The sequence below is a fragment of the Homo sapiens genome, chromosome X (genome assembly GCF_000001405.40).
Source record: "Homo sapiens chromosome X, GRCh38.p14 Primary Assembly".
NCBI classification, from domain to species: domain Eukaryota; kingdom Metazoa; phylum Chordata; class Mammalia; order Primates; family Hominidae; genus Homo; species Homo sapiens.
This window is the reverse complement of record NC_000023.11, coordinates 96717641-96743747: the sequence shown is the minus strand read 5'-3', so window position 1 is coordinate 96743747 and position 26107 is coordinate 96717641. Positions and strand designations below refer to the sequence as shown.

Sequence of the window (26107 nt, the reverse complement as noted above, 5' to 3'; positions counted from 1 at the left end):
AAATTTTGTATCCTTTGACCACTATCTCCTCAACCTACCCCTCTCCCCACTGCCCAATTACCCTAGCCCCTGGTAACCACCATTCTACTCTCGACTTCTATGAAATCAACATTTTTAGATTTCACATAGGAATGAGATCATGTGCTATTTGTCTTTCTATGCCTAGCCTATTTCACTTAACATAATGCAAATTAAGACACCAATGAGATATGACTTCACATCTTTTAGAATGGCTATTACTGAAGACAAAAGATAACAACTGTTGACCAGGATGTGGAGAAAAGGGGACTTGTATACACTGTTGGTAAAAATGTAAATTAGTACAGCTACTATGATAAATAGTATGAAGGTTCCTTTAAAAATTAAAAACAGAACTACCATATGATCCAGCAATTCCACTACTAGATATAAACAGGATTTTAATATCTGCATATACAAGTCTATAATGATTATGTGGGTCACATAACATAAAAGAGATCCATCAAATAAAATTATAACACAATATGATAGTACCTGAAAAACATATTTTCTTAATATCCTATTTCAAAATTCCCATGGAAGAAAAAATTCCCATTTGAGAAAATGTGGCACAAAGTTGTACAGTTCTTTAAATCACATTTATGAATCCAACAAGCAAATCCTTTTTTAAAAAAAATCATAAAGAGGAAATAGTAATTTTCTGATGAAACATTATGATATTCAAACCACAAAATAGAAATGTACGAAGTTTAAAAACACTGTAAATGTTGTACATAAATTTAAAAATTAAAAACTAACAGGAATCGGCTGGGCACAGTGGCTCATGCCTGTAATCCCAACGCTTTGGGAGGCCAAGGCAGGCGGATCACCAGAGGTCAGGAGTTCGAGACCAGCTTGGCCACGGTGAAACCCCGTCTCTACTAAAAATACAAAAATAAGTCAGGCATGGTGGCATGCACCTGTAATCCCAGCTACTTGGGAAGCTGAGGCACGAGAATCGTTTGAACCTGGGAGGCAGAGGTTGCAGTGAGCCAAGATCACGCCACTGCACTCCAGCCTGGATGACAGAGTGAGACTCCATCTCAAAAAAAAAAAAAAGAAAGAAAAACTAACAGGAATCATTGTTCCTTAGAGCTACAATAAAATAAAAGGCATGAGTGCAACTGAAGCTGTGAGCTAGCGGAAAGAGAATAGTAGAGGAAGATATCAAAAAGGTAAGGTGTGGTGGGTGTCAAAACATATAGGATCTTATAAGCTACTGCAAGTACATCGGCTTTTATTCACTGAGTGACATGAGAACCATGGTGGAGATTTGAGGAGCCAAGTGACATGATGTTCATATTTTAAATGAATAATCTTTCTGTGCTAAGAATAGAGGGTCATGAGTGAAAGCAGGAAGATCAATTAGGGGTTGTGGTAATCCTAATAATCCTACCATTATTATAGTGGTCCAGCTGAGACTTCAACTAGTGTGGTATCAGTGGAGGTGGGTAAGAAATGGTCAGCTGTTGAAAGTGCCTTACTTTGAAGGAAAAGCTAATGAGATTTTCTAATGGTTTGACTGTAGAATGTGAGAAAAGGGTAGTGAAGGACAAATCCAAAGTTTTTGGCCTAGGTGGACGGATGGAGATACCGTCAACTGAGAAAGGGAAGACTTTTGTAGGAGCAGGTCTGGAGGGGAATATTAGCAGTTCAGTTTTGGTTGTGTTATTTTGAGAGATCTATTGTGCATCCAAGGAAAGATGTTGGTTATGAAGTTTAATATATGAGTCTGGAGTTCAAATGTGAGGACTAAGTTGAATGTAAATTTGATTTAGAGGTTCAGGACATAAAGAGGAATGAGCAAAGAAGACTGAAAAGGAGTGGCCTGAGAGGTAGGAGGAAAACAAGATGAATGTTGAGGAGACAAAAAAATAAAAAGTGTTTCAAATTGGAGAGAATAATCAACTGCACAGAATGCTACTGATAGGTCAATTAAGATGAGAGACTGGGCATGGTGGCTCATGCCTGTAATCCCAGCACTTTGGGAGGCCAAGGCAGGCAGATCACATGAGCTCAGGAGTCCAAGACCAGCCTGGACAATGTAGCAAGACCTGGTCTCTACCAAAAAATACAAAATGATTAGCTGGGTATGGTGGTGCACTGCATGCCTGTGGTCCCAGTTACTTGGGAGGTTAAGGTGGGAGGATCACCTGAGCCCAGGAGATTGAGGCTGCAGTAAGCCATAATTATGCCACTGCACTCCAGCCTGGGTGAAAGAGTGAGATCCTGTCTCAAAAAAAAAAAAAAAAAAATTAAGATGAGAACTGAGAATTGACCATGGGATTTGGCAGCATGAAGATATCTGGTGACATTGATAAGAGCAGTTTTGATAGAATGGTGGGATGGAAACCTGGTTGGAGTGAGTTTAGAAGAGAAAGTGAGAGGATTAAAACTGGAAGCAGTGCATATGAATAAAATTATATTGTGAGGTGCTTTGCTTCCAAGGAGAGTAAATAAATGGAGTGATAGCTAGCAACAGAGAAAGGGTCAAAAGAAGGCTTTTGAAAAATGGGACCGCATGTTTACATGCTGCTCAGAATGGTAGGAGAGAGAAGAAAAAATTATTGAAGCAATATCTGTGAGTAGCTGAAAGGAATGAAAATTTATACACAAGCAGAAGAATGCGGACATGAAAATTTCATCTATGGTGATAGGTAGCAAGACAGATACATGAATGCAGATACTAAAAGGTAAATGTGGTGGGGGGAGCCTGTGGAAGTTCTCTTCTGAATGCTTCAATTTACTCGTAAATTAAGCAGCAAGGTCATCAGCAGAGAATAAAGATGGGGAAGAGCTCTGAGGTTGGAGCAGAAAAGCAAAGGTGTGAAAGGCATCTAGGGGCATAGTTGAGGGAACGGAGTAGGGACATATAAACTGATTCTCTGAAAACATAAAGGCCCACCTGGGGCTTCAGAAAAGAACTCTGTGTCCAAATCATAGGGCAATACTGGATTGGAATAGGCAAAACCTGGAGGATGGGAGGAAGACCAGTTGGGAGGCTATTTTAATAGCCATGAGAAACAACTAGAGAGGGTTATCATCTAAAGTAGGGCAAGAACAGCTGGAGGACATCTGAGGACACAAATGTAACAGTTATTACAAAAGCAAAACCAATGGGATTTGGCAAGAAATTAGAAGTGAATGAGATAATCAATGAAGGGAAGATAGCCCTGTAATGCTCAGTGTAGAAAAACTGAATACAGCAATGCCACTGATGAACTCGGAGAACTATTTCAATACTGCAAAAGGTAGTAACCAAATTGTCAGCAGCTTAAAGCAATGAGTATAATTTTTATTTAAAGAGAAGAAAGATTTAAAAAGATAAAAAGTGTTAATAGTATCAAGGAATGTTTCTGTGTTTGTTGCTGTCATCATTGTTTTCAGTGATTAAGGACACCAGGGTGATAAACTGAGGGGTATCTAGGTAATCAGAAAATACTAGCAATTAAAGACACAACAGAGCTTATTTGATAAAGGAAAGAAACACTACAAACATTCTGAATGACCCCAAAGTCCAGGTTTTTAACCACTACACAATACATGCTCTATAAAATTAAGGGTCTTGGAAAGGTAGTGTAAATTGTTTAGCTTCTAAGGAAAATTTTAGAGTTAAAGCTCTTAGAGGTGGAATTATTCTAAAGGATGACACAGTCCAAGGTACAGTCATACCTATAATTAGCTAAATATATAAATGCAAAAGTCAGAGTTTAGCAAACAAGGAACTAAGAGCAAAAAATGTATTGAAGGCTATTAGCGTAATAGTTGAAATCACCAAAATGAGTAGCAAGGGTAAAGGACAAAAGCATAGCCAGGTGCTATCATCAAGGAAGGTCAGCAATAACAGACTTCAAAAGAGAAAAGGTTGTTGAAAGATGGTTTAAAGAAGATAGCACGAAAGGAGCAGCAGGAAAAAGGGTGCACCACAGAAGCAGGAAGAAGAGTGAAAAAGGGTAAAAGTGTCAGGACTCGTTTCAGGGGAATACCCAAAATGCCAGTTGTGGCTAGATGGAAGGAATAGTCAAGGAAAATTTTAAAGGGAAATTTTGTTTGGATTCATTCAACAGCTACCAACAAATATTTATTCAAGGCCTACTAACTCTTCTAGGTGCAGGAGAGAAATAAACATGAGGGTAGCAGGAGAGGTGATGACAAGATGTTCCACAGTGGGCACAGTAGGGTCTAGATTTCACTGATCCTTAACCTTTTATTTTGGTGTAAGGCGACCTTTGAAACTCCTGTGGACAACTACAGGTAAATAGACAACCACAAAAAATGTACAGTAACATGTGGGATATAATTTTGAATGAATGAATCACAAATCAAGATCTCTAGTTCTTCTCTGGTCAAATTAACAATGTAATACGGTTTAATTCCTCATCTCTCCCCTCTCCTGCCATAAACTTCTGAATACTCAAAATATGGTATTCATTATCTAATATAGGCAGTGATTTAGGCCACAAGCTATAAAACACAGGAAACATGCTAGAAAATGTAGGTTGTGTGAATGTTGCTAATAGAACAAACTTGGATGAATTAATTTCTCTGTCCCTTCTATTGTTACTCTCTACCCTCCCAAGTCTATTTCATATACCCAACAAGAGACCTTGTGATGTTTTCAGCAGAGGACCTAGGCCTCTTTTGCTTTGTAGAAACAGACACACAAATCAGTTAACTGAAAAACTGACTCGATGTCCTAGAGACTACTAAATAGTAGAAAACAAAGATAAATAAAACTGCCTCTACTTTTAGGAGCTCACAGTGGAAGAGATAGACAGGTAAGGACATTTTTGCCAAGAAAAAAGAAAAAAAAAGGATACTTTTGCAAATAGTTTTGTTATATCAAGTTTCTGGTCTCTTCTTTATGTGATATAAACACTGTCCATACAAACACACCTCCTTAAAACTCAGTGCTATTCTGGGCACACACATTTTAAAATTACATCAAAATTAGGGGTATAACTTACCATCATTTTTTCAAAGAGATCCAATACTTCCTTTTCTGACAAATTCAAAGATCGTTCATCATATAATGGCTGAGCTGCAGGAAACTCACTCATCGCGACTTGAGAATCAATAGGATGTTGAATAAGAGGTTTTTCTTTTTTGACAGTAGATTTTCTAAAACTTGTAATTCGGTCACGCTGCAAACAAAAATAAATAAATAAAAAGCCCTGAGAAAAAGATCAAGAACTACTAACATGAAGAATTGAAACATCAAAACGGCACTTAGTATAATACATATCATTATTGTCTTCTGACAAAATACTATTTTAAGCAGCAAGCTCCAGTTAGAGATTGTACTATTTTGAAACCTTGAAGTACTCTTCAGCCTCAGAACTCTGGGGGTGAAAAGTATTCTTCAAAAGTAAAACTTAGTCCCTTGTCATTTCTGTTTTGCACAGTAAATAAGTGAAAAAAAAAGTCTCGGATCAAAGTCCTGTTGGTTGTTTCTGGGAGAGTGTGTCTTTGGTGGCAACTTTAGAACTATGAAAAAAGAGAAAGAAACTGAAAAAGAGCTACTGATTTCCAATTCTAAGAGAAAATTATGGTAATGTTTTTCTCCTTCAAAGTTGCAAAAATTGTGACAAGTATAAATGAATAATGTGTCAGTGTAGCAGTAGAATGGTTAAGAGCGTGGACTCAAGACAGATTACTTGGGTTTCAGTCCAAGCTCTGCCATTTACTAGCTGAGTAACCTTGTGAAAGTTTACTTGGTCTCTCTCTGTTTCCTCATCTCTGAAATAGGGATAATGATATTACTTACACCATAGGGTTACTGTGAAATTTAAATAAGTTAATATGTTTATTGCACTTAGCTGCTATTTATTATTGTTGTTACTATTATTATTTTCCCCCAGCATTTTCTTCCCTAAAATGTTGGGCCAATGAGGAAGCAAAACAAAGATAAAAACATCGGCTTTTCCATTTACTGGAAATGTAACAAACAGAAATTTCTTATTCCTACAAATATCATTAAGAAAAACTTGCTATTTTACGGATATTGACTTCGAACCACTGATTCCATGTAAAATCTCTAATAATTAGCTTGCTATTTCACATAAAGTGAGTTAATGACTTCAGTTGCATGTAAATAGGATATTCTATTTTAAACCACAAAACATGGGACATCAAAAGTTAGTAATGTGCATAAAACTGAATGCAACTCAGTTTTATTATGGTTTCTGTTAGGAAGCACATGCATACCATCAAGCTCACATTAAACAAGCAGATATGTTAAATATCAGGAGAATATATCTTCACCGCCATGTAACCAGAATCCTTATATAATTACTTCAACAATACAAAGAGCATCACAGAAGTTATTACCATAGCTTATGTAAAATTATGTGAACTCCTCATTAATGAGCATAACTTTTATTTTAAATTCAAAGAACACTTTTTTAAAACCAAAAAGTATACTTTGAAAGAAATATGAGCAGTTTTAAGCAGCTTATTTAGGATTACAAAAGCAATTTGAGTACACAGTTGCTGACAAAGACATTATATAAATCATAGTATTTTAGAGCTGAGAAGAAACTTGAAAAATAATCTAAACCAATCCCCTCATTTCACAGAGAAGGTGATTTTCCTAAATCCAACAGCCCCTGGTTCCTATCCCAGTCTTCACATTAACTTAAGATTCATTTCTTCTAATCATCTTGAACTATATTTTCACATTTTCTTTTAACTTTTTGAGGGAAATTAAGTTGGTTTAGTTATATAGTATATCTTCAAACAACTCAAGAAAAAAGTTAAGTAATCCAAAATAAGCTGAGGATATATCCAATAGTCAAATTTCACTAAAAATATGGTGGACATGAAAGCATTTAAATATGCAACTGACCATTAAATCAACATATCTCTTCTCCTTTCCCTTCATATCACTTAATATTTACTTTTCCAGTACTAGCCTTTTTACTGAGTAGCATTAATAACATATATATTTGATATTCCACTGTGTCTTTCAGTTTATCTAGAAAATTAGCTTTTGATTTCAGCTATACCTTGGTAAGAAAATGTAGTTGGCTGGGTGCGGTGGCTCACGCCTGTAATCCCAGCACTTTGGGAAACTGAGGTGGGTGGATCACCAGGAAAAGTTTGAGACCAGTCTGGCTAAGACGGTGAAACCCCATCTCTACTAAAAATACAAAATTTGGCCAGGCGTGGTGGTGGGCACCTGTAATCCCAGCTACTTGGGAGGGTGAGGCAGGGGAATTGCTTGAACCAGGGAAGTGGAGGTTGCAGTGAGGCGAGGTTGCAGTGAGCCGAGATCGCGCCACTGCACTCCAGCCTGGGTGACAGGGCGAGACTCTGTCTCAAAAAGAAAATGTAGTTAAGCCACATACCTTCATCTCCTTTGAGCACTATCACTACTTTAAATTATTTGTAAATAGGTAATTTCACATAGGAAAAAAAAAACTGACAAGGCTTAAAATACCATTTTTTATAGTTTAGCTATAAAAGGGTATATTTACATTTTGAGCCCATAACTTTTAAAAAGATATACTATGACAAATTCAGCTTTAAAATACTGGTTTTTAAATTTAGTAGCACACATCTGACTAACAGTGAACTTAATTTCCTTTCTAATGGAAATTAATTTCCTCCAATATTAATGTTTAATACATTCACAATTTATTTGGCCATCAAAAAAGGAAGCATCTGTGTTTTCCAGAGTCTAGATTCACAAGATTTTAAAAAACATTTGGTTAAGGTAAATATTAGGATGATATGAAAATTCTGTTGGGATCTCATATAATTGTTTGTGTTAATATTCGAAAAGGAAGTCACTGAATTGACAATTATTCCATTCTACTATACTTTGTAAATATCCAGACATTTTGTATCTTACATATATCAATGCTTTTATGTCCACCCATTTTAATTAAAAGGCAACATGCATAAGTAATGTAATAACATGCTAAGACCACCTTACCACATCATCTGCCAAAGTTTTTATTTGAATGTTCTATTAAAACCAAAAAGAAACAAACAAAAAAAACCCATCAGATAAGAGAAACTCATAGATCAAACAATAAAATAATTTAATAATTTTCATTTTTATTAACTGTAAACAGTCAAAAAGAATCAGAAAGTTCAAACATATAAACAATACATTCTTTAAAGAAAAAAATCTTTTTAATGATTAAAAATGAAGGTTTGGCAAAGGTGTATATATTTGTTTTTAAATACGGCTCCCAATGTCCCAAATCAGATCTAAATCAGACGTCACTACCACAGTGCTGAAATGTGAGAAAAGATACAACAAAATCATAAGCCCTGGCATGCTATATATAAGTTTGGAAATGAATCCTCAAGCTAAGATACCTAAATTTAAAAAACAACACCACGTACAATAGGAAAAATGTCACATTTAACAAGAATGAAATATAATGAAACAGCTTGGCCTAAGAACTGTGTTATTCCTGATGGATATTTAAAGGACACTTTTATAAATATGCTAAATAAAATTGAACTTATTTTTAAAAACTATCCTTATAAATAAATTAGAAATATTTTTAAAATATTCTAAATAAAATTGAACTTATTTGAACATAAAATTGAACATATATGAGCAACATTATTTGAAGAATTTAAGTACAGCAATACTAAAGCAATACCTAATAATGTAGTTATGTTCCATGATTCACGGGATAGTTCAAGACCTTACAATAATGTATGATAAGCATGAAATATAGTTTTTATTATAAATATGTTGAAGTGCCAATTAGGGGTGTGATTAGGAAAGAACCAGATTTTTTTTAATTGTCTGTTAGAAATTGAATTAAATGTTCTGCCAGATCCTATACATTTATTTCTTACAACAGAAGCTGAATAATGTATATCAACTTGGTCATGCACACTAAAAAAAAAATAGGGTCTTCTCACAGTGGGGAGGATTCCATTATGAGTTTTAAGTGAATGAAAATTGCTTGGATCTCAGAAAATTGTCTTCAAATACCACCAATCCAATGCTGTTAAAGACCATCCTCCCCAGATCAGCTGGGGCAAATATACTATTCTATGTATAACTCTTTTCTTTTCTACTTTTAATCCACTGATTCCCTCAGGGATCTAAACTTCTAATCTCTATACCATGTCTTCATCACATCCTGCTGACACAAACCCCAATCAATCTTTACTGCCTAGGAAAAAAGTGGGAATTATTTATATCAGAACTGAAACCACTTTAAGAAGGATGAATTCACCCTGCAACTCTCTCTACCAGGTATTTTCTCCTTAATTTTTCTAGTGGGTTATAGAAAACTGTTTTAAACACAATGGCCAATTTCATGATTTCCTGCAATACCAAATCAGAGAGAAAATGACAAAGTATCAAAAGTGCCTGAACTAATTCTGCTACCATCCCTATGTGCGCTTGTCCACATGTGTTTTTGAGACAGATTATACAGTTCTTCATGCAACTACTGCTTTCCTTCTCTTCCCATCTTTTGGGGTTATAAACTCCAGGCTGGAAACCCATCTATATCTCCAAAGCAAGAATGTAAATGAAGGGAAAATACTTTTTGCTTTAGTCAAATTATCTAAATTAAGGTACACATATGTTTAAAATGTTTCAAATCTGTATCTCAATTGAATACATGTTGACAGTTTAATCATGGGAGACAGACACAAGAAAAAAAGCATTGCTAGCAATATTTTCACTTGGTCCTATGGGACGAGACTGAAGTCTTCCCTTCCCCTCAGTACTCTTCTTTGGAATTAACATACTTTTTATCTATAGTAAACCACAGAGTATAGAGGTAGAAACTATTCAAGTTAGATGGAATTCAAGATAATCTAGTCAAAGCCTCTCATTTTACAAACAAGAGGGTAACATTTGTTAGTGGCTCCACCTGCATTCCACTTGTCTAGGTTTAAGATTTCCAAATCTTGTTCTCCTTCCTCTCCTTCATTTCCAATAGCCAAGCAGCTATCCAGTCCCATGATAATCATTCTGCCATTTGCAAAGATGTGGTTCAAGCCACCATCAGCTCTTAACTAAATTTCTGTAGTGACTTCCTAATCTATCTCCTTGCTTCCACCTTTGCTCTCCTACAGTTAATTTTGAACACAGCTGACAAAGTGATACTGTGAAAACTGAAGTCACGTCATGTCACTCCTTGGCTCAACACTTTCCAAGGGCTATTTTCCCTCCTAGTGCAAGTCAAAGTTATTACAATGACCTACAAGGCCCTACTGATCTATACACTCTCCATATCCCTCTGACCTCATCTCCTACTACTCTCCCTTCATTCCCCCAGCTCCAGTCACACTGACCACTTCACGGCTCCCCAATGAGGCAATAAGCCACATGCACTGGCTCTTCTCTCTGCCTGGAATGCTCTTTCTCCATGGCCCATATGGCTTACTCCCTCTTCCTGCTTTCAAGGTTTTGCTCAGTGAGGCCTACCCTGGCCATCCTATTTCAAATGGAAACATCTGCCTCCCTCCACATATTCCTGGCACTCCTGAACAAGATTTAGCACGTTCTAACATAGTCTATAATTTACTTAATTATCATTATCTTGGTCTGTTTTTCCAACAAAAAATATAAGCTCCACAAGGACAGGGATTTTTGCCCATCTGGTTTAGGGATGTAACCCTAACGCCTAAAGCAGTGTTTGGCACATTGAGGCTCAATAAAGAGTATGAATGACTATCATACTCCCTCCTGTTCATAAATATTCAATGCCTCCTGATGACCTATAGAATAAAGATGAATATCCTTAATATGGAATTCAAAGCCCTGTATGATTCAGCCCTGGGCTATCTTCTACTTCTTCTCTTATGATCCCTATTCTACAGAAAACAAAAATTAAAATCCTCTTCCCAATGCATACTCCCATGATGTCCTCTTTGTGCCCCTACTGTTCCCTTTGATTTGGAATGTCCATTCTGCTATATACATTTCTAATTCTAGAGCTGCCCTTGAATTGAAAGTTTAGTTGTTGATAAACCAAATGTGGACCCCTGGTCAAAAATAATACTGGAGAAGGACTGTGCTTTGTTTTATTCTTAAAGAATTTTCTTTTTTCCTGACAGGCATCTACAAGAATGATAGAGTACCCGAAGGCACATAGGAAATTATACTTATGTAAAAAATTATCCTAATTACGTGTGATAGAGAAACATAAAGAAAAACACCCCACTCCTGATTTCTTGATTTGTAAATTTCATTCAACTAGAGTGGATATCCTGTATAACCACATACATTTAATACGAATATTTTCTCAGATTTCCCTCATGTAAAAATCTGCTTTCATAAATATAATACTATTTAAAGCTCTTCGTTATAACTGTTCAGAAAAAAGAACAAATATGGTCTATCGAAAAGGAAAATCTTTAAGCAGATATGAAGGGCTGAATTTCAGAAGGGGTAATTTTTAGCCACTGTACATTAAACATGCATTGAAATCATTGTATAAGTTACAATTAAATGATCTGCAAACAAAACGAAATCATTTCTGCTACACAATTATCTTTCTATATTAGTCAAAAAAGAAAGGTATAAAAGGACTTGAGAATAACAACAGAAACACCAAAAAAATTTTTTTCATTTATAATGATGGTCTTCTGGGACAAGCTCTCAAAATTCATTTATGTGGATGGGTGCATCTGTCTCACACCACATGCAAGTAAACATGGATTTCATTCCTGTGTACAAACTACAGAGCTACTATGGAGTTAAAAAAAGTCAGAAACAAAAATGACCCCCCCAAAAATCTTTATTAGAGTCATACCCCTGAATTAAAAGCACTGATTAAAGTCATTTTTGTAAGTTTTTATTATGCAAATCTAATGATCATGCTCATTACAATGAGGGCATATTGTACCAATAAATATAGTGACCATATATTTTCATTAAAATCAACTCTGGAAAAGCAATAAGACTGTGCATTAGTCAAGCAATCAGAGTTTATTAAACTTCATTTATGATCAGCTATATTAAATATAACTTAGCACAGTATTATATGAATATTGTGTAACTATAAAAGTATCACTCCAGAGTCTCAACCCCTTAAGACTAAGAGAAATGACTGACTTACTTATAAACTCTAATGCTGAAGTTGTGATTGCAATGCAAGAGTCATTATTGTAAGAAAATTAAGTTTTAATTTTCTCAATCAGGCAGAAATTAACAAAAAGAGCAAGATGTAAAGATTCAACTCTCTTATAGCTAATGTTACATGGTAATACAATGTTTTATAAACATCGTGCAATTACTCTACTACCACAGAAATTGGACAACTAAGTTGCATATAATTCAAAAGTCTCACCACCAACTCAAAAACGTATTCGCACTATTTGACTATTTTCTTCTCTCTTAAAGAAAATGAATTAAGTTGGCCATTACAATAGAGATGAAGGGTCAACTCTTTACCTTCCTTAAGTTTCTTGCGTTCCAAGAATGGCAGGTACAATAGGACACAAAAAACAACCTTCACTTCAGCTGAACAAATATTTAAGCATCTACTATGCATCTGTTTGTCAGGCCTCTGGACCCAAGCTAAGCCATAGCATCCCCTGTGACCTGCACCTATACACCCCGATGGCCCGAAGTAACTGAAGAATCACAAAAGAAGTGAAAATGGCCTGTTCCTGCCTTAACTGATGACATTCCACCACAAAAGAAGTGAAAATGGCTGGTCCTTGCCTTAACTGATGACATTACCTTGTGAAATTCCTTCTCCTGGCTCATCCTGGCTCAAAAAGTTCCCCCACTGAGCACCTTGTGACTCCCACTCCTGCCCGCCAGAGAACCCCCTTTGACTGTAGTTTTCCTTTACCTACCCAAATCCTATAAAACGGCCCCACCCCTACCTCCCTTCACTGACTCTCTTTTCGGACTCAGCCCGCCTGCGCCCAGGTGAAATAAACAGCCTTGTTGCTCACACAAAGCCTGTTTGGTGGTCTCTTCACATGGACACGAGTGACATAAGTGAAACTGTTCAGTACTGGGCACTGGGAATACAGTGGTAAACAAGGTAAGCATGCTGTCTTCCTTTAAGGAGGTTACACTCTAGTTGAAGATCAGAAGAATGAAAGAACAATCACAATATAAAGCTTCTGAGAGTTCTGATATGGTAATACTCTATTATAATCTCCATATATTTTCCAAGTCAGAATGGACCTTGAGAAAGGTAATCAACATCAACCAATGATTCAGGGTTTGATTTCTCTGGACGACATCCCTGCCCAATCCCTATTCAGATAAGCAGCAGTCACAGAGGGAAGTAGTTACTATTCAAAGGCCTGCCTTCCAACTTTTCAGACCCTATACTCACTCCTGAACTTTAAAAACCAGTAAGGCCAATCCAAACAACTCAAGGCCAATCACCTGGTAACCAAGCTGAACATTCTGTTCAGGCATTCAAATGCTTTATTATAAAGATTTTCTGTTAGTTGAGTACCTCTCAGTTGTGTTTAATTTCACCAAGAAAGCAATGTCTAATTTTATTTTTAGAACTAAGCTCAAAGTACAGGCTTGAGTCTAAGATGACCTTTTAGAAAACAAATTTTTCCTTTTGCAATCACTGAACTATTTACTGCGTGTACTTAAAATTACTCCCAATCATTCTTTCATCTCCTTTCTAAAAGTAAGAGTCATTTTCAGCCACCTACACTTCATCTTAGGCACTGTAGTCCTCTATCACCATTAGCACTTAAGAATAGATGCTAGATCAAGTGGTGGTGTGTGAGGCACTGGGGATTTAGAGAGATATGGCCCTGCCCTCAAAGCTCAAAAGCCTAGTAGTTGAGAAGATGAAGTTACAGATATGAAGTTCCAGTTCTCCACCTTACTTTGCCATTGTTAACATCTTGAACTGTCCATTTCATCATTTTAGTAGAGCAATACTTTTGTATTTTTGTGACCATAAGCACACCATCTCAGAAGTACAGTCAATTCAAAAGCCTCAAATTTTAACCCACCAGAGTTCTTTGCTATTACAAATCAAAATTCATTCCACCATTTTTATGACAAGAAAAAAATCCTTTTGAGATTCTCTTCTCAAGATGCTCTTTCAATTTATAAAGAACAAAATATTTATCTATAAGAGAACAAATATGACATCACAGTATAGGGTTTCAGTTTTCTTCACAAAGCAGAAGTCTATGTTACTTCACTGGATAATTTTGATAAATCTGTCATAACAAGTTATGCTCAATCTTAAATGAATTGTCTTGCCATAAAGCTCAATCTTGAACTGCCAGGAGGGGTGACTATAGCAGTCTGTGTGTGACAAACCTGATCAGCTTCAGGACTAAGGGTAAATGGTTCAGGAAATATGTCTGCCACTTAGGTCTTTAAGAATGTTCACACTAATGAATTGGAGGAAGTCACTTAGTGCCTGAATTAAGCAGAAACAATTGCAGGAATAATCCAGCTTTTAGAGTAGTAGCATCCTCTACAGGTATAGAAAGAATGTTTGTTTGCTTTATACTGTGAAAGGAAAATATCTTGGGCCTCTTCAAGCTGGGAACCGCCTCTTATTCTATTCAAAGTCATCCCTCTGCTCACAGAGACAAATGCATATTCTGATTGCCTCTTTTGAAAAGACTTACCAGAAACTCAAAAGAATGTAACCATCTGACTCTCACCTACCTGTGACCTGGAAGCCCCCAGTAGGGAGGCCTTACTTTGAGTTGTCTCCACATTTCTGGATGGAACTAATGTACTTCTTACATATTGATTGATGTCTCATGTCTCCCTAACATGTATAAAAGCAAGCTGTGCACTGACCACCTTGGGCACATGTCATCAGGACTTCCTGAGGCTGTGTCACAAGCGCATTGTCAACCTTGGCAAAATAAACTTTCTAAACTGAGACCTGTCTCAAATTTATGGGGTTCACAATATTAAAGCATTTCAAATGGGAAAAAAAAGTTGTGTAGACATGAAAGTTCTTCTTTCTTAGACTATGAATAAAAAGCAATAGAAATGAAAAAGCTAGATTTAGACAAATACAAAAATTTCAAAACCAACACAGTACTTTGTACATAACAGATACTCTTAGATCAATGATTTAGCCAAGTAGTGCTTTATATTTAATAAATAGATTTTTACCTTCTCTGTCAAAAAAGGACAAATTTCTCAACCAAACCTTAATCAAGCACCCATTTTATACCCAACACTTTATGGCACATAGAAGTTTAAGGATTCTTCCCTTAAGGCATTTACAGTCTAACCAGGGAGTAAAAACTAACCATATAGGCTGGGCTTGGTGGCTCACACCTGTACTACCAGCACTTTGGGAGGCCAAGGCGGGTGGGTCACCTCAGGTCAGGAATTCGAGACCAGCCTGACCAACATGGTGAAACCCCCGTCTCTACTAAAAATACAAAAATTAGCTGGGTGTAGTGGTGGGCACCTGTAATCCCAGCTACTTGGGAGACTGAGGCAGGAGAATTGCTTGAACCTGGAAGGCAGAGGTTGCAGTGAACCGAGATCATGCCATTACATTCCAGCCTGGGCGAGAGAGTGGGACTCCGTCAAACCAAAAAAAAAAAACTAACCATATAAAAACAAAAATAACTAAATGCGAAACTATGAGTTTCTCAGGTATGTCGCTTCTCCCAAGGCACTATCCTCCTGTCTTATCTTGACAGCATTAACTGTTATCTGAAATGATATTGTTCACTTATTTGTGTTCTACTTTTTTTTTTCTTTTTTTTTTTTTGAGACGGAGTCTCCCTCTGTCACCCAGGCTGGAGTGCAGTGGCACGATCTCGGCTCACTGCAACCTCCACCTCCCGGATTCAAGCAATTCCCTGCCTCAGCCTCCCGAGTAGCTTGGATACAGGTGCCCGCCATCATGCCCGGCTAATTTTTGTATTTTTAGTAGAGATCAGGTTTCATCATCTTGGCCAGGCTGGTCTCGAACTTCTGACCTCGTGATCCATCCACCTCAGCCTCCCAAAGTGCTGGGATTACAGGTTGTCTTCTACTTTCTAGAAAACAAGTTCCCTAACAGTAGAGACCTTAACTGTCTTATTCACTTTCAGATCTCTGACACTTAGAACAGTAGCTGGCACATAATATCTGCTCAAATACTGTTAAATAAATTCATTTAAGCACAATAAGAATTCAGAGAAGAAATAGATAAATATAGCTTCATTGAGAAACTACAAAGAATTGTGGCCTAATTGTTGGGTAGGGATCTGAAGAGCCACAAAGAGAGAAAGAGAGGGAAGTCAGACAAAAGGAGCAGCATTAACATTTTACTTCAGGGAAGTTGAAGAGAACAGACTTATGAAACAAATGGTTCAAGTACAAGGGTATTAAATTTTGAATATGTAGGGTGGATTAGAGGCAGTCTTGAAAACCACAAGGAATAGTCAAAACTAAACTGGAAAACCACTAGGCGTTCTTATGATTTTCTGATTTGAAGACAGACATGGAGAAAATGGTATTTTAGAAAGCTGACTTTGGGTTGGCACACGTGTACAATCTTTTATTTGAAACCTTTCAAGCCAAACACGTCTTGGAACTCAGCATGTTTCATGTTTTAGAAAGGAATATGCTAGGTGTATCATATCTTACAAAACACACTAAGCAGGATCTGGGGTAACACATTAACTCAAATGTATTCAAGTTTAAAAGGAAAACATGGATATTTCACAAAACAGGATAAATAAAGAGTACCTATACGGCCTTAAGAAGGTTGGGGCTTGTGGCCAAATGATAAGAGTGTTTTCAGAGCATTCATATTTCAGAATTTCAGAAAAGGGTTATGGACCTGTAATATTGAGAATAAACTAAAGAAGGAATCAAAGGCTAAAAAGGCGGCTTGCAGAGATCAGCAAGTTTGGTCTATTCTACCTAACTAATAGCTACCATTTACTGAGCATTTATAGGCACTATGCTAAGAGCTTTACAGGCATTGCCTTGTTTAAATCCTCACAATAATCCTATGTACAAGAAGGTACTGTCTTGTTTTACTCATCAGGAAATCAAGGTTTACAGTCATTAAGTCATTTGCCTAAATCACAAAGATAATAAATTACACAGTCCAGATTAGCATTCAGGTCTGACTAGAACACACACTCTAGAACATCTATCTATATTCTGAAATCTGTGTGCAACAGTCTTCATCAGTATAACAATACTGGTTAGAGCTCCAGCTCTTTTTCAGTCTCGGCCTTTCCAGGTGCTCTTTGCTCTGCTTACAGCACCCGCTCCATCCCACCTCACCTCTTTCTTAATCATCTAGCCATCTTCTACTCAACTGTTCTGCTCTCAGCTAAGGATACAGTTGATCCTGTTATAGTCTCCCATGGTTCCTTCTGCAACACATTCCACGTATCAAATCCTAATTACCTATCAATATCAGTCTTCTGTGCAATACTGTAAACTCAATGTAGTAAGGACCAGGTTTTTCTCGATTCCCACTGTGTCCTCAGGTTTTTGCACTATTTCTAGCACATAGTAAGTACTCAAACCTGTGATGATTGACAGAATTGGGGCTGGGGGAGGAGAGAGACAGAGGAAGAGAGCGACAGAGAGAGAATGTGATCCAGTTGCAAGATGATAAAAGCTTAGCCTAGGATGGGAGCAATATAAATAGATAAGGCAGTTAGTATATATAATTTTGTTTAAAATAACGCTTGTTATTGAAGCAATGTACCCAGACATATGATTGCTGTTTGTATTAAATAGAGTAATTTAAATATCTGTTGTTATGATTACTATCTTTATAATGCAAAAATAACCTCTAAATGGCTATGATTATCACTCTGGAGATACTTCACCTCACAATGACTTGCTATCTGTCTACTTCAAGCAGCTTTTACAAATAACCACATCATTTAGTTTTCTGATGTAGTTGCAAAATTAATCTGACAAAACAAAATGATTCACTGCTTTAAAAATTCAAGAGTATAAATTGCCAAAAACTGAAAATTATACCTGAGTTGTGAATAAGGTATTATTATATTTTTTGTAGGAAAAAATACATAAAAGTCATACAGTGATTTAAGTTAACTTCACTATTAGTACTTTTAACTGATGGTCTTGAATTTGCAAACAATCCCCAATTCAGGAATGGGCCATGTCTCAAAATTCACTTGTATAGCAGTTGTTTAGCTCTTGGAACACATGTATCCAAAGGCGTTAACCCATAAGAAATCATTTCCAGAGTGAAAGCAGACAAACTTCTCTACATGGAAAACAAAAACAGCTCATTTACTCACACAGGAAGAACTTTAAAAATCACTAAATATTATATCAAATATTTAAAACGTAGAAGCTTAAACAGAATGTGATTATATGGTGAACAAAAAATAATTTTCAGAAAATTTAAAAAGTGTTTTTGGAAAAATTTAATATTATAAATTACTCAATTTTATAAACTTCATTTTTCCCCCAATGGGCTTCAGATTCTATGCTGAGTAGTGATAACTGAAAAAACCTTTTGTCTCATAATGTTCCTTAAATAGTTTTTTACTTAGTTTTAATTTGGATAAGAGATTCTTTCTCAACATAGTGACAGAAATTGTCAAAATAATAAATAACACATTGTAGGAAAATATCATTTATGTCACTGTGTTTTACAAATAATATCACAATGAATTAACAGGTAGTTTTAATTTTTTTACTTTTTATGATTTGGGGCAAAGCAACACTTGTATCTGTTTATGCTGATAGATCTCAAATTTCTCCTACTCTGTTGTGTTTCTCACGACGGACTCTTCGCTGTATTTAAATAATTGAAGTGGAGTAAGAGCTGCAAATAAATCAGCAACTATACTTAGCCCCTGAAGCCTCTTAAGTATTAATCACTGATCAGTTGCAATATAAAAAAGATGAGCTGTATGTCCCTTTGCCTGAAAACTCACAAGCAACCCAAGCACTAACCCTTATAATGACCCTTATACATACACAGGTCAAAGCAAATTATTCAGATTTTTATTTTCTCTTTTAATTAATATTATGAATCACAGAGATTTTTAAGTCTAAAGATTTTGATGTAGAAAACATTTTTTTCCTTTTCATCTGGATGTTAAGACAACAGTGATGTATTTTATATAATCAATATATAGATCACGGTTTGCATAAACCCATTAAATATGAAGTGGCTGTTAACCTTGCCTACAACTCTTTGACTTTGCTGATGCCAACAAAGGCTTCAAACCAGCAAAATCAAGCCCTTTCATAGGGGCTCCTGAAAACCACTGACAGATACATATTATATTTCTGCACATAAGACTCCAGCCATGTCAAATCTGCCAATAACACTCAGTGTGTATGAGACGTCTTCTTTGAAAACAGAGAAAGTCTGAATTATGAGGATAAATTTGAGATGGTCTAAACTTATTTTAATAGCATTCATTCAAGTTTCTATTTTCCTCACTGCTGCGTAATTTGGTTTTATAACAGTTTGGCCAATTAGGGACTGGGTAGGTTGAAATTAAATGTTACTATGAAGCTGACAGAATGATTTACAGTCAGTAGATCACTGAAAAACAAATAAAGATACGCTTAAAAATTTATAGAATTAGCCAAGCGTGGTGGCTCACGCCTGTAATCCCGACACTTTGGAAGGCGGAGGCGGGCGGATCACTTGAGGTCAGGAGTTCAAGACCAGCCTGACCAACATAGTGAAACCCCGTCTCTGCTAAAAATACAAAAAAATTAGCCATGCGTGGTGGTGGGCGCCTGTAATCCAAGCTACTTGGGAGGCCGAGGCAGGAGAATCACTTAAACCCAGGAGGCAGTGGTTGCAGTGAGCCGAGATCGCACCACTGCACTCCAGCCCGGGCAACAGAATGAGACTCAGTCTCAAAAAAAAAAAAAAAAAAAAAAAAATTATAGAATCACTCTTATGGGGTTACCATAAGTTCTGGCCCCACATTACTGTGTCAGTACCATAATCATAGCCAAGTTTTTTACAAAATTCCTAAATTAACTTCTCTTCAATTACCATTCTATTTGCTAATAATGTTAAACTTATTTTCAACAAAATTACCTATTTAGTAGCCATAATCAATACTACTGAAGTTTTCTACATACATGGGCCCTTCGTAGCCCTGATGAAACATATGGAGTTAGTTCTGCGACTACATTTTCTTACAGAAACAAAGTTCTCAATGATGGTTGAATTCGCAAATCAGCTTTAAAAAACCTTATTAAAATCCTATAAAAATCTATAATACACCTTCAGAGTCACACTGGTAGTAAGTAGTATTCCAACTCCATTCTCCTTTGAAACAGTTTCTGTAGAAAATACCCATTCTAACACGAGGTGTAAAAAACTTGATTTTTCCTTTCTATAGGCAGGACTGGCTATACCAGTGATGGTACATAAAGGGACAGAAGAGAGACAGCCACTTATTTCAACATAAGACTTCAGAGAGTAACCACAGAAGACATGATTACAGATCAAGCTTCTTAGGTGTCTTAATTGGGAAACAAGGGGCAATTTATTCCTTCTATTTAAAAAAATTATCCTGGCATCTAAATTCCCTCATAAACACTGCCTCTAGAGTACTTACAGTGAATTTGTTCAAGAACTTAAGTCAAACTTGACCCACCAGGTTAAAAGGTCTCTTCATTTTCAGGTATTCACTGAGCTCTGAGTATCCCAAATTTCATGAACTATACACAAGCACCCACCTACTTGAGCTTTAAACAGTGATCACTTTTTTTAGGAAGGAACTAGAATGGCTTCTTCCCCTCTCCATTAATAGCATAAGAGAATGTGCTAAGACTGGCATTTTCTTTCACATGAAATGCAGAAATGAGACTGTATGTAGACTCAAAGCTACAAACATAACTGAATATGAACACGTAACCCACAGATATTGAAAGGGTGACACAGTTTTAAAACTTAAAAGTTATGATGCAATGTCAGTCGCCAGTAGCCAACAATGTAGAGTGCTTCCTGAGCTACAATATGCTTGAAAAAACCTGGAAACACCACAAAAGTGGAATTTTTTATTACTCCCAAGGTCTTAGTTCAAACTTTGATTTTAGCATTTATCATAGTGCGATAATTTCTCACTAGAATGTATGAATTTCCTAAGGCAGGAGGTGGGTCTTATATAGTTTTGTATATATTACATAAATGGGTTAAAGATGGCCTCTGTATATTGGCCTTATGTTGTTTACTTCTTCACAGCAGCATAAGACCCATTAGCTCAAAGCCCACCTCAAATTGCTACATATCCAATTATTTTAAATGTAGCCCAAACAAACCAATTTTTAGCCATTAGAGCCTGCCTGGTTTGCCTACACTGCTGCAGCTAGACAGCAACAAGTCAAGGAAATACAGTAGAGGAAGGGAAGGAAACAGGGACAAGGGAAGAGAGAAAGAGGAGAGAAGGAGGGAACGAATGAATGAATGAGAGTCTCTCTTTTTTTTTTTCTAAGACGGAGTCTCGCTCTGCTGCCCAGGTTGGAGTGCAGTGGTGCAATCTCAACTCACTGCAACCTCCACCTCCCAGGTTCAAGCAATTCTCCTGCCTCAGCCTCCCAAGTAGCTGAGATCACAGGCGCCCACCACCACGCCCGGCTAATTTTTTGTACTTTTAGTAGAGACAGGCTTTCACCATGTTGGCCAGACTGGTCTCAAACTCCTGACCCCAGGTGATCCGCCCTCCTTGGCCTCCCAAAGTGCTGGGATTACAGGCATGAGCCACTGTGCCCGGCCAAGAGTCTCTTTAAATGCCAAATTGTAGACATGAATACCTAAAAGGAAATTGTTAATTTATAATTTGTATATTAAAAAGAAAAAAGAAAAGCTAGACCTAAAGAGAGAGCATCACTACTATTAGTACTACTATTTATGATTCACTGAGCACCTTCTATGTGCCAGGCATTGTTTTTAGTTCTCTGATTTAATTAATTCCTAAAACAAACCTGTAATGTAGCTATTATTATTATTCCCGTTTTTCTGATTAGGAAACCAAGGCATACTGAGGTAAAAACAGAACCATATAATGTTCTCTGTCCTGTATGCAGCATCATGGTTCCAGCAGCAAATACACCTTCACAAGGTAAACAGCAAACAGAGTACTATGGTATGATGCATGACCCATCATAGTAGAGGGAAGCACCTCAACATATTCAATAGTTCCCTTGGCTGAAAACCACTGAAACTGTTTGACCTGACATGTTAGATCATTTACATAGTTTACTTTCAGAATTTGAGCAAGGGCTATGGAGCACAAAGGTCATGTGTCTCCTAGATCACTTTACATAAACTTAGCTTGTGTATAAAGCTGTTAAATTTATTTTCAAACACAGGCTTTGTGTTCATTAGTCAGCACTTGACTAGCCAACTGTAAAATATAAAACAGTCAGTAAGCAACAAATGCACTCTCATGAGCATATACCAGAAGATTTTCCCATGGTATTTGCATTTTAAAACTATAGAAGGACAATGACATGAAATAAATGTTAATGATCTCTGCAAAGTGAATTTTCAGTTTGGATTTGCATTAAAAATATTTATCCTATTTATTTAAATTACATGACAAGAAGATTAGATACACCCATAATACATAATAAATCTTTAAACAAACATAAAAACTTCCCAGTTTCTGCTTTCTTCTACCTAATTTTAGTTCCAGCAACATGCAAAATGAGTATATTAACTTAATCCCTCAGGTACTTGATGATTTCAAGATAAACTCTGGAGACAGCCAACAGCAAAAAAATTCATTTTCTTTGACCTAGCTTGGTCAAACAGAAGCTTCCCTCCAGTTCCAGTAAGAAGGTAGAACCACAGGCCTAAGAGTCCTACTGAATGGAATCAGGACAAGGAAAACCAGTATACAATGAGGTCACATGTATAACATGTTACTAAAAAGTTTCCTAGTCTCTACATCTCATATGTTTTAATTACATCATTCTAGGGTACAGTTTTATTGGGGAGGGACTAGAACTGAAAACAAATCAGAAAGGATTACTTCAGAAATACCCATTTATAACCGAGTGGTTTGTTGCAAGCTCTCTGGAAGTATATTTATCACAAGTAAAATCCATCAAATTGACAGGACATTTTCTGTCAAAATCCATGTTGATGTGACCATCCAGCCCAAATGTTAACATTTGTTCTTACGGAACAGTGACTTGAATTTTCTTCTGGCTTCTCTTTTCCCTGCCAGCATGACCAATGAGAATGTTCTAGCTTAAAGAACATACAAAGTTATGCTAATAAAATAATCCCCAAACTGTATTATATATATTTAAAGTATTCTAATAAGGTTTTGCTGAATTTTTCCAATAATCAAGGGTGAAAATACCTTAAGCATCATGTGACAAGGCAAAACCTAGAAGAGAGACTGAGAAGTATGCTCTCAATCTCTTCGAGTGTAAGTAATAAACTGTATTGTTCTTGTTAGTACCAAAATTCTGTATCTATGCTATATTTTTAATAAAAATACAATATGTGCCTGAGCTGGAGCCTGTGGTATGTGAGCCCAGAAGGATAGAATTTTGACCAAGGCTGGAGAGATTTTTGTAATAAACAACAGGCAAGGAAAAGATACATCACATGACCAGAGAAACAATAATTAGAAGGAAAAATGTTTGGAAACTGAAAGAAGCTATATGTACACAGTTTTTAAGGACTAATGAAGTTCAGTAAAGGAATTGCCAAATAACTATTAAGCAAAATAAAAGGAGACTGTCAGATTGAGGTTAAGATAATTATTGAGTAAGCAATTTTGACCCGAATCCAAGAGGTTATACCTGGAGTCTAAGCAAGAAAGTTGGAAGGGGTTGGTTAACGTTCAGCCATGATTAACCAGATGCTCAGGTAGAAGGGTAGAAAAGTGAAAGAGAATTGTAAAAATCCCGATCACTTTAATTAACCATGTCACAAACTGGTTTTTGTGTTTTCATTTTTTACTTTTGTTTTTGTTTTTGATGCATCCCTATCAAAATACCAATGACATTCTTCACAGAAATTTTTTTTAAATGGTAACTGTTATACAGAACCACAAAAGATACAGAATAGCCAAAGCTATGCTGAGAAAAAAAGAACAAAACCGAAAGCATCAGATTACCTGACTTCGAATTATACTATAGAGCTATAGTAACCAAAACAGCATGGTACTGGCATAAAAACAGACACAGAGACCAATGGAACGGAATAGAGAACACAGAAATAAGTCCATAAATCTACAGTGAACTCATTTTCAACAAAGGTGCCAAGAACATACATCGGGTAAAGGACAGTTTCTTCAATAAATGTAATGAGAAAACTAGATCTCCATATGCAGAAGAAAGAAACTAGACCCCTGTGTCTCTCCATATACAAAAATGAAATCAAAGTGGATTCAAGACTTAAATCTAAGACCTCAAATTATGAAACTGTTACAAGAAAACATTGGGGAAGGTCCTCTAGGACATTGGACCGGGCAAAGATTACTTGCATAATATTCCACAAGCACAGGCAACCAAACCAAAAATGGACACATAAGATCACATCAAATTAAAAAATCTTCTGCACAGCAAAGGAAACAATCAACAAAGTGAAGAGATAACCCACAGTATAGGAGAAAATATTTGCAAACTACCCATCTGACAAGGGATTAATAACCAGAATATATAAGTAGCTCAAACAACTCTATATAGAGAAAAAAATCTAATAATCCAATTTTAAAATGGACAAAAGATCTGAATAGACTTTTCTCAAAAGAAGACATACAAATGGCAAACAGGTATATGAAAAGGTGCTTAACATCATTGATCACGGAAATGCAAATCAAAATTACAGAGGTATCATGTTACCCCCAGTTAAAATTGCTTTTATCCAAAAGACAGGCAATAACAAATGCTGGCAAGGATGTGGAAAAGAGGGATTCCTCGTACACTGTCGGTGGGAATGTAAATCAGTACAACCGCTACGGAGAATAATTTAGCAGTTTCTCAAGAAACTAAAAATAGAAGTACCATATGATCCAGCAATGCCACAGCTGAGTATATACCCAAAAGAAAGAAAATAAGTATATTAAAAGAGATATCTGCTCTCTCATGTTTATTGTGGCACTATTCATAACAGCCAAGATTTGGAAGCAACCTAAGTATCCATAAACAGATGAATGGATAAAGAAAACGTGGTGGCTGGGCACAGTGGCTCACGCCTGTAATCCCAGCATTTTGGGAGGCTGAGGCGGGTGGATTACCTGAGGTCAGGAGTTCAAGACCAGCCTGGCCAACATGGTGAAACCCCATCTTTACTAAAAATACAAAAATTAGCTGGGTATGATGGCACGCGCCTATAGTCCCAGCTACTTGGGAGGCTGAGGCAGGAGAATCGCTTGAACGTGGGAGGCAGAGGTTGCAGTTAGCTGAGATCATGCCACTGCACTCCAGCTTAGGCAACAGAATGAGACACCATAAAAAAAAAAAAAAAAAAAAAAAAAAAAAAAAAAAAAACAAAGAAAATGTGGTACATATATACAATGGAGTACTATCCAGCCATAAAAAAGAACAAGATCTTGTCATTTATAACAGCACAGATGGAACTAAAGGACATGTTAAGTGAAAAAAAAGCCAGGCACAGAAAGGCAAACGTTGCATGTTTTCACTTATTTGTGGGATCTAAAAAAATTATAACAATTGAACTCATGGAGATAGACAGTAGAATGATGTTTACCAGAGGCTGGGAAGTTGGAGAGTGAGGTGTGGGGATGGTTAATTGGTACAAAAATAAAGTTAGATTGAATAATTAAGATCTAGTATTTGATAGCACAATCAAGTGACTACAGTCAACAAGTTTATTGTATATTTTTTAAAAACCAAAAGAGTATAATTGGATTGTTTGTACCAAAGGATGTTTGAGGTGATGGTTAGCCCATTTCCCCCAATGTGATTATTATACATTGTATGCCTGTATCAAAATATCTCATGTGAATATATATATATATATATATATATATATATATATATATATATACTATATACCCACAAAAATTAAAAAACATATAAACCAGTGATTCCCAAAAGCCCAAAGAACCCCAGCACAAGAAATATGAAGAAAAGTACACCAAGGCACATCTTAAGTTACTGAAAGCCAGTGTGATAAAGAGCAAATATTAAAAGCAGCCAGAGCGGGTGGGGGAAAGACATGTT

General features: G+C 36.4%; 1 protein-coding gene across 2 annotated transcripts in view, besides 1 other annotated feature; it reads right to left on the bottom strand.

Moving 5' to 3' along the window:
* The window catches only part of DIAPH2 (diaphanous related formin 2), a 920156-nt gene that overhangs the window by 861250 nt on the left and 32799 nt on the right, over positions 1 to 26107 (bottom strand). For both annotated transcript variants that reach the window (NM_006729.5, NM_007309.4), the window contains exons 2-3: positions 7958 to 7990; positions 4986 to 5162 (exon numbers count right to left, since the gene is read on the bottom strand). In NM_006729.5, the coding sequence (NP_006720.1) occupies positions 4986 to 5162; positions 7958 to 7990 (210 nt within the window). The remainder of the gene's footprint in view (positions 1 to 4985; positions 5163 to 7957; positions 7991 to 26107) is intronic.
* Positions 12234 to 12782: an enhancer, noted in NCBI's record as "NANOG-H3K27ac hESC enhancer chrX:95985965-95986513 (GRCh37/hg19 assembly coordinates)". NCBI's record gives its function as "activates a minimal SCP1, AML or CMV promoter by ChIP-STARR-seq in naive H9 embryonic stem cells {active_cell/tissue: H9 hESC(naive)}" and the evidence as "EXISTENCE:reporter gene assay evidence [ECO:0000049][PMID:30033119]".